The following is a 15,201-nucleotide window of genomic DNA, read 5'->3' as shown; positions in this document are numbered from 1 at the left end:
AACATGCTGCAGGATATTATCCAGGAGAACTTCCCCAATCTAGCAAGGCAGGCCAACGTTCAGATTCAGGAAATACAGAGAACGCCACAAAGATATTCCTAGAGAAGAGCAACTCCAAGACACATAATTGTCAGATTCACCAAAGTTGAAATGAAGGAAAAAATGTTAAGGGCAGCCAGAGAGAAAGGTCGGGTTACCCTCAAAGGGAAGCCCATCAGACTAACAGCGGATCTCTCGGCAGAAACCCTACAAGCCAGAAGAGAGTGGAGGCCAATATTCAACATTCTTAAAGAAAAGAATTTTCAACCCAGAATTTCATATCCAGCCAAACTAAGCTTCATAAGTGAAGGAGAAATAAAATACTTTACAGACAAGCAAATGCTGAGAGATTTTGTCACCACAGGGCATGCCCTAAAAGAGCTTCTGAAGGAAGTGCTAAATATGGAAAGGAACAACCGGTACCAGCAGCTGCAAAATCATGCCAAAATGTAAAGACCATCGAGACTAGGAAGAAACTGCATCAACTAACGAGCAAAATAACCAGCTAACATCATAATGACAGGATCAAATTCACACATAACAATATTAACTTTAAATGTAAATGGACTAAATGCTCCAATTAAAAGACACAGACTGGCAAATTGGATAAAGAGTCAAGACCCATCAACGTGCTGTATTCAGGAAACCCATCTCACGTGCAGAGACACACATAGGCTCAAAATAAAAGGATGGAGGAAGATCTACCAAGCAAATGGAAAACAAAAAAAGGCAAGGGTTGCAATCCTAGTCTCTGATAAAACAGACTTTAAACCAACAAAGATCAAAAGAGACAAAGAAGGCCATTACATAATGGTAAAGGGATCAATTCAACAAGAAGAGCTAACTATCCTAAATATATATGCACCCAATACAGGAGCACCCAGATTCATAAAGCAAGTCCTGAGTGACCTACAAAGAGACTTAGACTCCCACACATTAATAATGGGAGACTTTAACACCCCACTGTCAACATTAGACAGATCAACGAGACAGAAAGTCAACAAGGATACCAAGGAATTGAACTCAGCTCTGCACCAACCAGACCTAATAGACATCTACGGAACTCTCCACCCCAAATCAACAGAATATACATTTTTTTCAGCACCACACCACACCTATTCCAAAATTGACCACATACTTGGAAGTAAAGCTCTCCTCAGCAAATGTAAAAGAACAGAGATTATAACAAACTATCTCTCAGACCACAGTGCAATCAAACTAGAACTCAGGATTAAGAATCTCACTCAAAACCGCTCAACTACATGGAAACTGAACAACCTGCTCCTGAATGACTACTGGGTACATAACGAAATGAAGGCAGAAATAAAGATGTTCTTTGAAACCAACGAGAACAAAGACACAACATACCAGAATCTCTGGGACACATTCAAAGCAGTGTGTAGAGGGAAATTTATAGCACTAAATGCCCACAAGAGAAAGCAGGAAAGATCCAAAATTAACACCCTAACATCACAATTAAAAGACCTAGAAAAGCAAGAGCAAACACATTCAAAAGCTAGCAGAAGGCAAGAAATAACTAAAACCAGAGCAGAACTGAAGGAAATAGAGACACAAAAACCCTTCAAAAAATTAATGAATCCAGGAGCTGGTTTTTTGAAAGGATCAACAAAATTGATAGACCACTAGCAAGGCTAATAAAGAAAAAAAGAGAGAAGACTCAAATAGATGCAATAAAAAATGATAAAGCGGATATCACCACCGATCCCACAGAAATGCAAACTACCATCAGAGAATACTATAAACACCTCTATGCAAATAAACTAGAAAATCTAGAAGAAATGGATAAATTCCTTGACACATACACTCTCCCAAGACTAAACCAGGAAGAAGTTGAATCTCTGAATAGACCAATAACAGGAGCTGAAATTGTGGCAATAATCAATAGCTTACCAACGAAAAGGAGTCCTGGACCAGATGGATTCACAGCCGAATTCTACCAGAGGTACAAGGAGGAACTGGTACCATTCCTTCTGAAACTATTCCAATCAATAGAAAAAGAGGGAATCCTCCCTAACTCATTTTATGAAGCCAGCATCATTCTGATACCAAAGCCAGGCAGAGACACAACCAAAAAAGAGAATTTTAGACCAATATCCTTGATGAACATTGACGCAAAAATCCTCAATAAAATACTGGCAAACCGAATCCAGCAGCACATCAAAAAGCTTATCCACCATGATCAAGTGGGCTTCATCCCTGGGATGCAAGGCTGGTTCAATATACGCAAATCAATAAATGTAATCCAGCATATAAACAGAGCCAAAGACAAAAACCACATGATTATCTCAATAGACGCAGAAAAGGCCTTTGACAAAATTCAACAATGCTTCATGCTAAAAACTCTCAATAAATTAGGTATTGATGGGACGTATTTCAAAATAATAAGAGCTATCTATGACAAACCCACAGCCAATATCATACTGAATGGGCAAAAACTGGAAGCATTCCCTTTGAAAACTGGCACAAGACAGGGATGCCCTCTCTCACCACTCCTATTCAACATAGTGTTGGAAGTTCTGGCCAGGGCAATTAGGCAGGAGAAGGAAATAAAGGGTATTCATTTAGGAAAAGAGGAAGTCAAATTGTCCCTGTTTGCAGACGACATGATTGTATATCTAGAAAACCCCTTGTCTCAGCCCAAAATCTCCTTAAGCTGATAAGCAACTTCAGCAAAGTCTCAGGATACAAAATCAATGTACAAAAATCACAAGCATTCTTATACACCAACAACAGACAAACAGAGAGCCAAATCATGAGTAAACTCCCATTCACAATTGCTTCAAAGAGAATAAAATACCTAGGAATCCAACTTACAAGGGATGTGAAGGACCTCTTCAAGGAGAACTACAAACCACTGCTCAATGCAATAAAAGAGGATACAAACAAATGGAAGAACTTTCCATGCTCATGGGTAGGAAGAATCAATATCGTGAAAATGGCCATACTGCCCAAGGTAATTTACAGATTCAATGCCATCCCCATCAAGCTACCAATGACTTTCTTCACAGAATTGGAAAAAACTACTTTAAAGTTCATATGGAACCAAAAAAGAGCCCGCATCGCCAAGGCAATCCTAAGCCAAAAGAACAAAGCTGGAGGCATCACATTACCTGACTTCAAACTATACTACAAGGCTACAGTAACCAAAACAGCATGGTACTGGTACCAAAACAGAGATATAGATCAATGGAACAGAACAGAGCCCTCAGAAATAATGCCACGTATCTACAACTATCTGATCTTTGACAAACCTGAGAAAAATAAGCAACGGGGAAAGGATTCCCTATTTAATAAATGGTGCTGGGAAAACTGGCTAGCCATATGTAGAAAGCTGAAACTGGATCCCTTCCTTATACCTTATACAAAAAACAATTCAAGATGGATTGAAGACTTAAACGTTAGACCTAAAACCATAAAAACCCTAGAAGAAAACCTAGGCAATACCATTCAGGACATAGGCATGGGCAAGGACTTCATGTCTAAAACAACAAAAGCAATGGCAACAAAAGCCAAAATTGACAAATGGGATCTAATTAAACTAAAGAGCTTCTGCACAGCAAAAGAAACTACCATCAGAGTGAACAGGCAACCTACAAAATGGGAGAAAATTTTCACAACCTACTCATCTGACAAAGGGCTAATATCCAGAATCTACAATGAACTCAAACAAATTTACAAGAAAGAAACAAACAACCCCATCAAAAAGTGGGCAAAGGACATGAACAGACACTTCTCAAAAGAAGACATTTATGCAGCCAAAAAACACATGAAAAAATGCTCACCATCACTGGCCATCAGAGAAATGCAAATCAAAACCGCAGTGAGATACCATCTCACACCAGTTAGAATGGCAATCATTAAAAAGTCAGGAAACAACAGGTGCTGGAGAGGATGTGGAGAAATAGGAACACTTTGACACTGTTGGTGGTACTGTAAACTAGTTCAACCATTGTGGAAGTCAGTGTGGCGATTCCTCAGGGATCTACAACTGGAAATACCATTTGACCCAGCCATCCCATTACTGGGTATATACCCAAAGGACTATAAATCATGCTGCTATAAAGATACATGCACACGTATGTTTATTGCAGCATTATTCACAATAGCAAAGACTTGGAACCAACCCAAATGTCCAAAAATGATAGACTGGATTAAGAAAATGTGGCACATATACACCATGGAATACTAGTTCATGTCCTTTGTAGGGACATGGATGAAATTGGAAATCATCATTCTCAGTAAACTATCGCAAGAACAAAAAACCAAACACCGCATATTCTCACTCATAGGTGGGAATTGAACAATGAGATCACATGGACACAGGAAGGGGAATATCACACTCTGGGGACTGTTGTGGGGTGGGGGGACGGGGGAGGGATAGCATTGGAAGATATACCTAATGCTAGATGACGAGATAGTGGGTGCAGCGCACCAGCATGGCACATGTATACATATGTAACTAACCTGCACAATGTGCACATGTACCCTAAAACTTAAAGTATAATAATAAAAATAAATAAAAAAGGGTGAATTATATGGCATATAAATTAAATCTCACAAAACTATTTTTTAAAAGAAAAAAATACAAAAGTAAAAAGTCAATTTGCCTTTCCTTCAATAAATATACAATACTGATGAACCAAATTTAAAATTATGACATTTGTATTCAGACTTGTAATATGTTGAAATCTTATTGAATAATTGGATGTCCAATATATGACAAGGTATACATTAATCATTGCTTCAAAATTTCAGGATATTTCTAACCTTTAAAATAAAATCAGACTGAGACCAGAAGTATGCTCACTTCAGGTCTAAATTAGTTCAAAACAAGAGGACATATATTAGGGAATATTTGCTCAAATCTGGTAAAGTATTACAGAATCACTGGTTATTTTATTTCTAAAAGAACAACTGGAAGTAGGTTCCCTTTTATCTCCAAGTAAACACAATTATTTTGTCAGTTTCCACTGTTCAGGACAGCAATATTTTCCATAATTTCTGTTATTAAACTCATGTTTAGCTGATTGATAACTTTTTTCACTATCCTCATAAAGGGATATGGGTAAGTCTGACTTCCTATGTCCACCTTCATTTTTAAAGCTTAAAAAGCCAAAAATAAAAGAAAAATCTTTTTGTTCTTTGATTAGCCAAACTATAAAATGGAAGTAGAGCTTTCTGGGAAAAAACATATACTGATCTGCCAAGCAAATTCACAAAATTGGCATATGCTGAGACATTAGCAGAGATAATGTACACTATACATTCTCCATTCAAGTCCAGATATTATTTAAAGCATTCAGTGCCAATATTAATTTTGTTTTCCACCCAGAACTTACTGGGTATTTAAAAACAGCTTTATATAGATTTTGCTAAATAATCAATGGAAATAATATTCACTGAATTATATCTGGTCAATTTCAGTAATGTTATAGTAGAAAATAAATTGGGGGTTGGGGTGAGGGAAATGAGTTGACAAGACCAGAAAAAGGGCACAATATTTCCAGGGCTTGACTCTACTGCAAAGATCAGTACATATGATAAGGCTAATGTTTTTCAGTCAACAGTTATTAACAGTGTTCTGGGTGCTGACACACTGGTGAATAACACAGACAAAATCCCTGTCCTTAAGGAGATTTTAATTATAATGCTTACAAAACACAAACACAAATCCATCTCTCTTTGCAGTCTCAAAACATAAAATGGAATATAACCAGGGTAACCATGTCCCAGTTTGAAATTTCATCTGGTGCCACTTAGGAATCTTGACATCATGAAAATAGTAATAAATCACTTTAGACCAGTACTTAGATATGTAGACAAACTGGATGTACTCAACATGGTAACCACCTCTCTATACCACATGCAAATCATAGGCCTAATAACAGTGTAAGGGAAAATAGTAGCAAAGCTGTTTCCATCACTGACGGCTCAGGCACAGGAACTGGTCTTAGAACCAATAAGAGTGTGCATGTGTGTGTGAATATACTGGGGGGGTTGGTACACACACAGGTGGGTACTCAGTATTTTGATGTAGTGGAATGGAAATTTCATGGTACTAGCAATCAGAAGACCTGCCATATCTTGTGAGAGTCTCAAATATTTGGGGATGCATTAAATTGTCCCTTTAAGAAAAAGATCTGAACTACAGTCAAACTTAGCTCTAAAACTGTGAGTTTATGATTTCCTATGCAAAACATAAGGCTTCAACTCCTGAACTTTATCTGCAGAGAGTCACAGAAGGCAGTTTTTCACACAACAGGAAGAAGTAAACAGTTAGGTTTAAAAAATCAGTAATCTCAGATGTACTTTTCTTTCCACCTTTCAGTTCCTTCCCATAGCTTGTGTATTTTGAAAGTCAAATCAAAAAACAGGTGATAGGGAATAGAGTTCAACATTAGTATGTGCAGAGGATGAGGAAATTAATTAATGGGAGTGGGGAGTGGGCATGTCAAGGAATCCTTAGATCTTTCCTGAGGTAAGGGAAAGGCTGCAGGGTACAAAGGGGCAGTAGGGGAAGTGGAACTATGATAAAAAACAGACACAAGCAATGACATGAAACAAAAAGCTCCGATTGTGCCTTCCTCATCTCACTCGGTTCTCGTTATTTTCCACTACGGGCCACTTGTTGAGAATCTGTAGGACCCTCTCAAGGATCTAGAGCACCCTCTTGATGCTACCAGCTCCACAGGACTTCCTCCTGTAGCCATTCACTTTTCCCTCTACCCACCTCCAACTACCATTAACCCTAATGCAAGCCCTTCCCTAGTATGTTTACCTGAAAATAATCTAATTAATTAATTCTCACTAGGTATTACTGATTAGGTCGATCCTATGAGGCTGTGCATTTTAACAGGCATGACCATCACCCAAAGGATTGTTAAATGTGGAAAGGGCCTTAAAAGTACCAGAAACTGAAGCCAGGCCCATCCTCTGCCCTCTGCACCTCACTGGCCTGCTGTACCAGCCACACCAGCCCTGATCTTGTGTGCACTAGTTCTTCTCTGTACCATTCTGCCTCAAATGGAGGAGTTCCCAGAACCAGAAGAGATGTGTTATGAAGGATTTTGAAGCAAAACAGCCTATCCAACACCTTTAAACATTCCCTATAGGCTCTCCTCTTTTTGACTCATGCATTAGGCTTCCCAGAGAAAGTAAACAGTAATATCTTTAGCCCTGGATTTAAACACCTGTGTGTAAAGTCAAGCAAGCTCACCATGGTTTTAAAAATGTTAAAAACTTTTTTAATAAAAGGTTTTGGTTAAATAATTCATCCTTGTGTTACTTATTATATTCCGAGTTTTAAAAGTGCTTCCCATTCACCAATCCTTTTTGTGTCTGAAGACAATCATGTGAGGTGGTTAGAGATGGTTAGAGAGTTTATAACATTAGATTATCATTTAGAACATTAGATTACATAACATTGTCACTTTTGCATATTTAAAAAATAGCGATTTAGAGTACAGTATCAGGACTAAACTGCCTAGGGATGAATCCTGCCTCTACCACTACTAGTGTGTGACTTCGAACAATTTACTTAACCCGTCTGTTCTTCAATCTACTTGTCTGTAAAAATGAGGGTAAAAATAAGACTTACTTCTTAGAATTATTTGATAACTAAATGAATTAATGCAAGAATGGTGCTGAGAACATTGCCTGACACCTGATAAGTACTCAAAAAGTGGTAGTTTGGGTTAGTATCTTCACCACAACCACCACCACTTCCATCATCATCAACATTATCATCAGAAATGACTATTTACTCAGAACAAATTAATCCTTTGATTACCAGATCCTTACTTCACTTTGTGCCAATATAGACATGGTCTTGATGTTGCTGCTCACTGCTAACATCAACTCTTTGTCTTTGAAAATTGTTTTCCTCCACTTTTGCCACAGTTGATCTCAAGAAGCATGAAGTAGTTTAATGAAAGTAAATGAATCCGATGAGTCATCTTTGTCTCCATTAAAAAGATGAAAGTAATATTTGAAATGGTAACATGCTAAATAGATGTGTGGAGACTCTCTTCATATCTGGAATGTAATATCAAAATATTTCAGGACTATGGTTAGTGTTGTATTAGTAGAAGACCTGAAAGCTTTTAAATATCTTTACATGGCTTTCTGCTCCTTAGGCACTAAGCATATCAATAACTCACAATAAGCACAATAATAATTATGGCACTGATAGAAATTATATTCATTTAATAAAGTTAGCATTCAATAAATAAGGTTACCTCAACCAATGTTTGGCATCAGGGGTGAGAAGCTTTATAGGAATTGTTTGTTTGATTTTTAACACAATTCCAAAAGATACAGATAACAAAATCCATATCTCTCATGAAGGTAAAATTAGAAAATTTACGTTTGATAATTTGACCTAAAAAAATGTAGCAGCATAATCAAACTACAGGTGACAGCCCATAAACTAAATATCTACTATTTTCATCAAAGACAAATTTCAATTAGTCCCTTTATCCATTCTTAACTAACTACCTTTACTGTAACTTTACCTTTAATGTAACTTCACATCCTCTCACTAAGGAGGGGTGACCCTGACTAGACAACTGTCTTTCTCGACTGCCTTCATTTTCACATAATAATATAAATTCAAAGCCAGTGCCTCTCACCTATTAACAAGAACTTATCTGATACCTATTCTTCAAGTACTTTTCAGGAAGCCTAATCTTGAACCTAGTGGAAAGGCTTTACATGGCTATCAAAAAACAAATTAAGAAAAGCAACAGTTATACAATGTAGCCTGAAGGATTCCAGTAGTCAGTTCCACCACATACTCTAAAACCTGTCCTTGGATTAAGATAGACCAGTAGAACATTGCCCACCTGGATTGAACTATTAATTTACACACATCCTCATTCTCCTTCATACCCCATTGGCTTGCACTGGGGAACATTCTGGAAAAAGAAAAACAGCCTCATGGGAAGTACTTTTTACCACCAGAATGTTGGGGAGGTCATTGTTTATTATATGACAAGAAGCTTTCATGGGTAAAGAGGGTGGGACATAGAATTTAAGACAAGCAGTTTAATAAGCACTAATCAAAATAAGCTCAAGAGGGCAACACTGCTTGATGTAGAAAGATTCATGTCCCCAAAGGCACCCATCTAGCCTCCCAGAGGGAGCATGCCATGTTCATCCCAAAGATTTCTTTTCTGGGATTGAGGTGCTACCAGAGTGGTAACCCCCCTCCACTGAATTCATTCCTTAACTTGCCTCCAATATGTCCCCTGGGCTTCAGGTCATGCTGAAGAACAACCCGGAAGAAAGTTTTATGTTTTTATAAACCTCATCCTATTCTCAGCCTCACTTTCCAATCAGATCAAGCAAGTTCTATCTTTGGGTGAAACTGGATTCCTTACCAAATTATTATAAATTACATCTGACTCAAATCCCAGCAGCTATGGCACCAAGGCAAATACCACATTCCCAGATGTTGTGCTTCCCTGTATCTTATGTTATTTACTTTTTCCAACATAATGACTTTTTCTGGTTTACCATATTCTCACTTCTTCTTGATATCCCACAATAACAAGATTATTTTGGTGAAAATAAAATCGTGTGTGTGTGTGTGTGTGTGTGTGTGTGTGTGTATAGAGAGAGAGAGAGAGATAACGTAGCATTTTGGGGGTTACTATCTTTAGATGGGTCTGCTTGCAGAATTGGCCTTTGGCTGGCATCTGAGGACTTGGCTTTCAGAATATTCTCTATGTTAATAAGTCTGTTTTGTCTACATGAGTTACTGTAGTGTTGTTGTACCAGCTTGCCTACACTGATTGTATAAGAAAATGTGGTTGATGGTGAATACTTGCTTCCCTTCTGGAAATTTGCTACGTGTGGCTGGCCACACCAGCAAAGGGTAGCTATATAACTAGCCCCAAATAAAAACTCTGGACTCTGAGTCTCAAACAAGGTTTCCTGGGCCAAAACACTACACATATATTGGGGCATTTCACTGGTGGAGGAGGAGCATTTCTGTGTGATCCCTCTTGAGAGAGAAAATGTTGGAAGTCTGTGCAGGGATTCCTCCAGACTACCTGACGTATCTTTTTCCATTGCTGATCACTAAAAAAATATAATCAGGATTACGGCTGCTTCTGAGTCCTGTGAGTATTTCTAATGAATAACCAAATGTATGAATGGGCTTGGAATCTCTGAGTTATATATGTAAAAATTTTAAAATAGGCAAAATTGTTCAACAAATACTTTATAAAAGAAGATATCTGCATGTCAAAGAAGCACAGGAAAAGTGTTTCAATGTCATTTAACATTAAGGAAGTATAAATTAAAAGTGCAATGAGATACCACTACATAGCTAAAACTAAAAAGACTTACCATACCAAGTGAGCGATTGTCAACAATATGGAGTAATTACAACTCTCATGCACTGCTTATAGGATGTAAAATGCCACAACCACTTTAGAAAACAGTTTGGCCATTTCTTAAGAAGTGTAACCTACACCTACTATAAGATCCAGCCATTCCACTTTTAGGTATTTACAAAGGAAAATAAAAGCATATGTCCATATGATGACTTAATAGCAGCTTTATTAGTAAAAGCCACAAAATGGAAATAATTCCAATAACCACCAACAGATGAGTGGATAAACACATTGTCATATAGCCATACAATGGGGAAAAAACAATTAAAAGAAATGAACTATCAATACATGTAACAAATCTCAAAATATTTATGTTCAATGAAAGAATTAAGATGAAAACTTCAGTACATACAGTACAATCCCATTTATATTAAACTCTAGAAAATGTAATCTATAGTCACAGAAAACAGATCAGTGGTTGCGTGGGGATGAAAAGAGGGACAGGGAAAGGCAGGAAGGAGGTATTACCATGGCACAGGAAACTTTGGGACATAATGAATATGTTCATTATCTTCATCATAGTGGTGGGTTCACAGGTATGTATCTATTGCAAAGCATATCAAATTGTACACTTTAAATGTTTGCAGTTTATTATATGTCAAAAATACATAAGCTTTTCTTAAAACTTTCCACAACAAGCCTTTTCAGGCTTAGGTTACAACCTGTTAAAAACACCACCCATCCTAAGTTTCCTATAACATTGCACGCAAATTTATTAATGATAATTGAAAAGCAATAGGAAGTAATCTTTAGGAATTTCAGCAATGAGCATAATATAATACCTGCCAAGAAAGAATGTATCTGAAAATCAACTCAGATAAAAAGAGATAAAGGTAAGAAAGATAATGAGTGGACATGTAACAGATTCCTAATAAAAATTATGCAGCACAATCATTAGTTACTTTAGGCTACATAAATCCAAAACAACCTTCTCAATCACTGAGGTCTCAGAGTAAAGAATTTGTCTAGACATAAACCTAGATCTATGATATGCATTATAGTGAACACAGGGAGTTCTGTGATTGGGTAAAACCACCCAAGTCTTAGCCATACTCAGAACGTTGATGTCTCCAAAACCCTTGGAGAAATAGTTGATTACCAGGTATGTAAAAAAATACATCCGTAAGGGAAATCCTTACAAATTACTTGAGCCATACTTTTAGAGCAATAAAAGATTAAGTTCAACTGCTTTAAAAAGTAAGAAAAGCAAAAAAAAAGAAAAAAGTATTTAATTCAAAAATGTAATTCAATGGTTCTCTCAATGGTCTTACAATTATGAAAAAAGTTAGGATGTCATACAATCAGCCCCAAACACTCTAAATGCATTCACAGAATAGAATCTGCTCCCTTAAATGAGCATTTCTAGAAATTGACAGGCAAAATCCTGAAGGTTTTTGTAATTGATATTGTTGAACTTCTGCTATTGGTGATTTCTTACTTGAAACATAATTATTTTAAAATTTCCAATCAACTAATAGGTTACGTAAACATTTCTGAGCATATCAACATATGGTAATTAATTTCTCCTTATTAATCCATTAAAGGGACTTTATAAAATAGTTTACAATCCTATCTATGAAGCTGATCCTAGTATCAAATAAATGCTCCAAAATCATTTTATACATCCACATAGGAAATAGAGCACATTTACTGAAATTACAGCAATCTTTGTCAGCACAATATTTTTAGCTGAGAAAAATCAGATATGTAAAATAATATTTGTCTTTATAATTGAGCTTAGTTGCTGGATGGCAGAAACTTAATTAAGTCAATTCCACGTATTTTTTTTTTCTCAGCCACTTCAAAGTTTTTCGGTCAAGTGAGGCATAAACTCAGTTAGTTCTGAATTGGCCTTTTCCCTCCCCTGGGGTGTCTAGTCATGAGAAGTGGGTGGAGGTGTCTGGTGTTAAGTTGGTGGTTGACCTCAGGCAGGACCATCCCTCCACTAGGGGTAACACAGGCAGACACTGTGTCCACCTGTTCTGCAGCCACTAGCCCAACCCACTTTCTAGCATCCCCTTATCACAATGGGGAGAACTCTTCAGGGACAACTGGCTTATAAATAAACTATTTTCCCTTTCGAGAGCCAAATATATTGGTGCCTTATAACGTGCTCAGGCACAGTGGTGCCTTACAATGTAGTCAGGCAGTATTCATACTCATTTTTTCAGGCCCCAGGAAAGAGACAAATCCTCCAGGATCTCATGTTCCAAGCATCTCTTTATCTGGTAGGAGTGGAGCCAGAGTAGGGGTGGATTTTATAGTTCCCCTAAGATGCCTCGCTCACAAGAACTTCCAAGTCTTACCCTCTTGCGTTAATTGAAACTCCATCTTGGAACCCCCTCCTCTGGAACTAAGCCTTACCATCTAATCCATCAGTTATGGTTTATAACAAAAGTTATTTCCCTGATATCATCTGTAGGCAATGTATTCAATAAACAATACTTTCAAACAAAATGGACACAGTCTGAATGATTTATACCATAATCAAAGTGCATTCAGTGTAAGTGCCTGATGCAGACTGCCATAAGCCTTGAAAACTGCTACGTAAATGGCGAATTGCCTTTATATCTTTCTAAAAGCAAAAGTCGTCACCTCTCAGTAAATTCCATCAATTTAACTTTCCAAGATAACATGTAAACACTATTTTTCTCTCTTTTAGCACACAGTACTTCATACATGGTAACTCTCTGATAGATGATTCCTAGACGAATACCTTTCTCTTGAAGAAATTTTTTCCAAATAATTTATCTTAGTGTTCTAATCAGAACCTGAACAACAACAAAACAACAACAACAACAACAACAAATATATAAATATATCCATTTTTATAGCAATTCTAGTTCAGGGTCCTATGAGATCCGAAACAGCATGGTCTTCCAGATAAACAGTACCATCGGTGATTAGGTGTGTGCTCATTTTGTTTAGAACTAAAGCATCAGAATGAAAGACTAGGCATTTCCAAAAAATCCCAGGTGTTTCCAAAAGAGAGGAAATGGAAGAGTGAAGATTCTTTGTGATTCTAAAAACAGAAGATCTTTAAGAGACACTTAAAAAAATTCACTACAATACAATCTATTTTGCCATGTTACTCACATAACCAGAAATTATAGGCACCATGAATTGGAATAAAGTGGGTGCCCAATGAGGTAATTATGCCCACTTTCCTAATCATGGTGGCCTTAGGAACTACAATCCTTTCATTAATGGCCGTCGGAACATCCCAAGTCAATATTTTTATTTCCTGTTTTCACCTGCCAGTGGTGAGTACTTTTCTCCATTTTCTGAATATATGACTAAATTTAACATGGGAGTTATGACAAGACATGCAGGAAGCTGCCCAGGCCAAACGAACTGAAAAACTCAGAACAATTTTAAATATGCTTTTTGTTTTGAAAGAAGTCTTGAAGTTCTGCAGGTCTTCATCATACTTTAATTTTGATGCTACAATTAGATTTGAAAGAATTTACATACTCCTACAAAAAACTAAAGCATTTCAGTTCTATGAGAACAAGGTAAAACTTTTTATGAATTTATTTTGATAAATGAACTATAAAATATCTGTGATATCAACCACTTTTTACTTTAGCTTACTGAAACATAAAGCAACATCCGTCAGCTAAACTTTAAATGAAATCTTTTTGAGTTTTACACTCCTTAAATATATTTTTATACAAATTATCTTTAAAATATTTGCAGTTCATTTTAGCATTTGTTTATAACCTAAACCCAATTAAACTTAGGAAGGAATATTAAGCCATCATATGTATATTTTCTCAGTGAATCATTTTTAATCAATTCAACAACATGTAGCCTTTTTATCTGAAATGAAACTTTGGTAGCATACAGATATGAAGTGTTTTGGTTTTCATAATCATTTTTGCATTTCTGTTTTTTCATTTTTTCAAACAAATAGATTTCGTAAGATACATGTAAAAATACAAGCCAGCAATCTGTTCCTTTTGTTTAATCTGTCAGAATATTAACCAGAAAATGTCCTGCTGTGGACTGAACAACCAAATGGTAGAATTGGGTCTATTGTAAGAGTAAATAGATCTTCCTTTTGGTGCTTTTTAAAATATGCATTATGTAAATGTGCTTAGTGTCTCTGCCAGAGTAATCCAGAAAAGAATTAGAAATGAACGGCTGGGTCAAGGGGAGAAAAAGAGTTGGGAGGGACGATACACGGGGGTTCCTCCTGGGATAGACAAACACAATGGCATCAGAGAAGAAAATGTCAGTGTAAGTTGCCAATTGTATAGCAGATGATTTGCAGTCGTGTGGCAAACCTTCAATTTCCAGGCACACCTACAGCCAAGGGTTTCTAATAGTCCTGAGTTGTGATGGCCTTTCTTCAATTGCTGCATTCATCAAACTTAATTTCCATCTACTTCTATCATAAGGTGCCTGTGTGTATTTGTACTTTTCTCAAACTTTAGTCACATTTATTTATTTATTTATTTATTTATTGAGATGGAGTCTCACTCTGTCACCTAGGCTGGAATGCAGTGGCACGAGAGGCTCACTGCAACCTCTGCCTCCTGGGTTCAAGTGATTCTCCTGCCTCAGCCTCCTGAGTAGCTGGGATTACAGATGGCTGCCACCACGCCTGGCTAATTTTGTGTATGTGTAGTAGAGATAGGGTTTCACTGTGTTGGCCAGACTGGTCTCGAACTCCTGACCTCAGGTGATCCACCCCCGCCTTGGCCTCCCAAAGTGCTGGGATTACAGGCATGAGCCT

The 15,201-nt window shown here is 37.1% G+C and overlaps 1 long non-coding RNA gene across 1 annotated transcript in view; it reads right to left on the bottom strand.

Annotated features, from left to right (window-relative positions):
* LOC112267962 (uncharacterized) overlaps positions 1–15,201 on the bottom strand; it is a 162,505-nt gene that overhangs the window by 74,965 nt on the left and 72,339 nt on the right. The gene's annotated exons all lie outside the window — the stretch shown is intronic.

This window comes from Homo sapiens, chromosome 6 (assembly GCF_000001405.40).
Source record: "Homo sapiens chromosome 6, GRCh38.p14 Primary Assembly".
NCBI lineage: Eukaryota > Metazoa > Chordata > Mammalia > Primates > Hominidae > Homo > Homo sapiens.
This window is presented reverse-complemented; position numbering and strand designations above follow the sequence as displayed.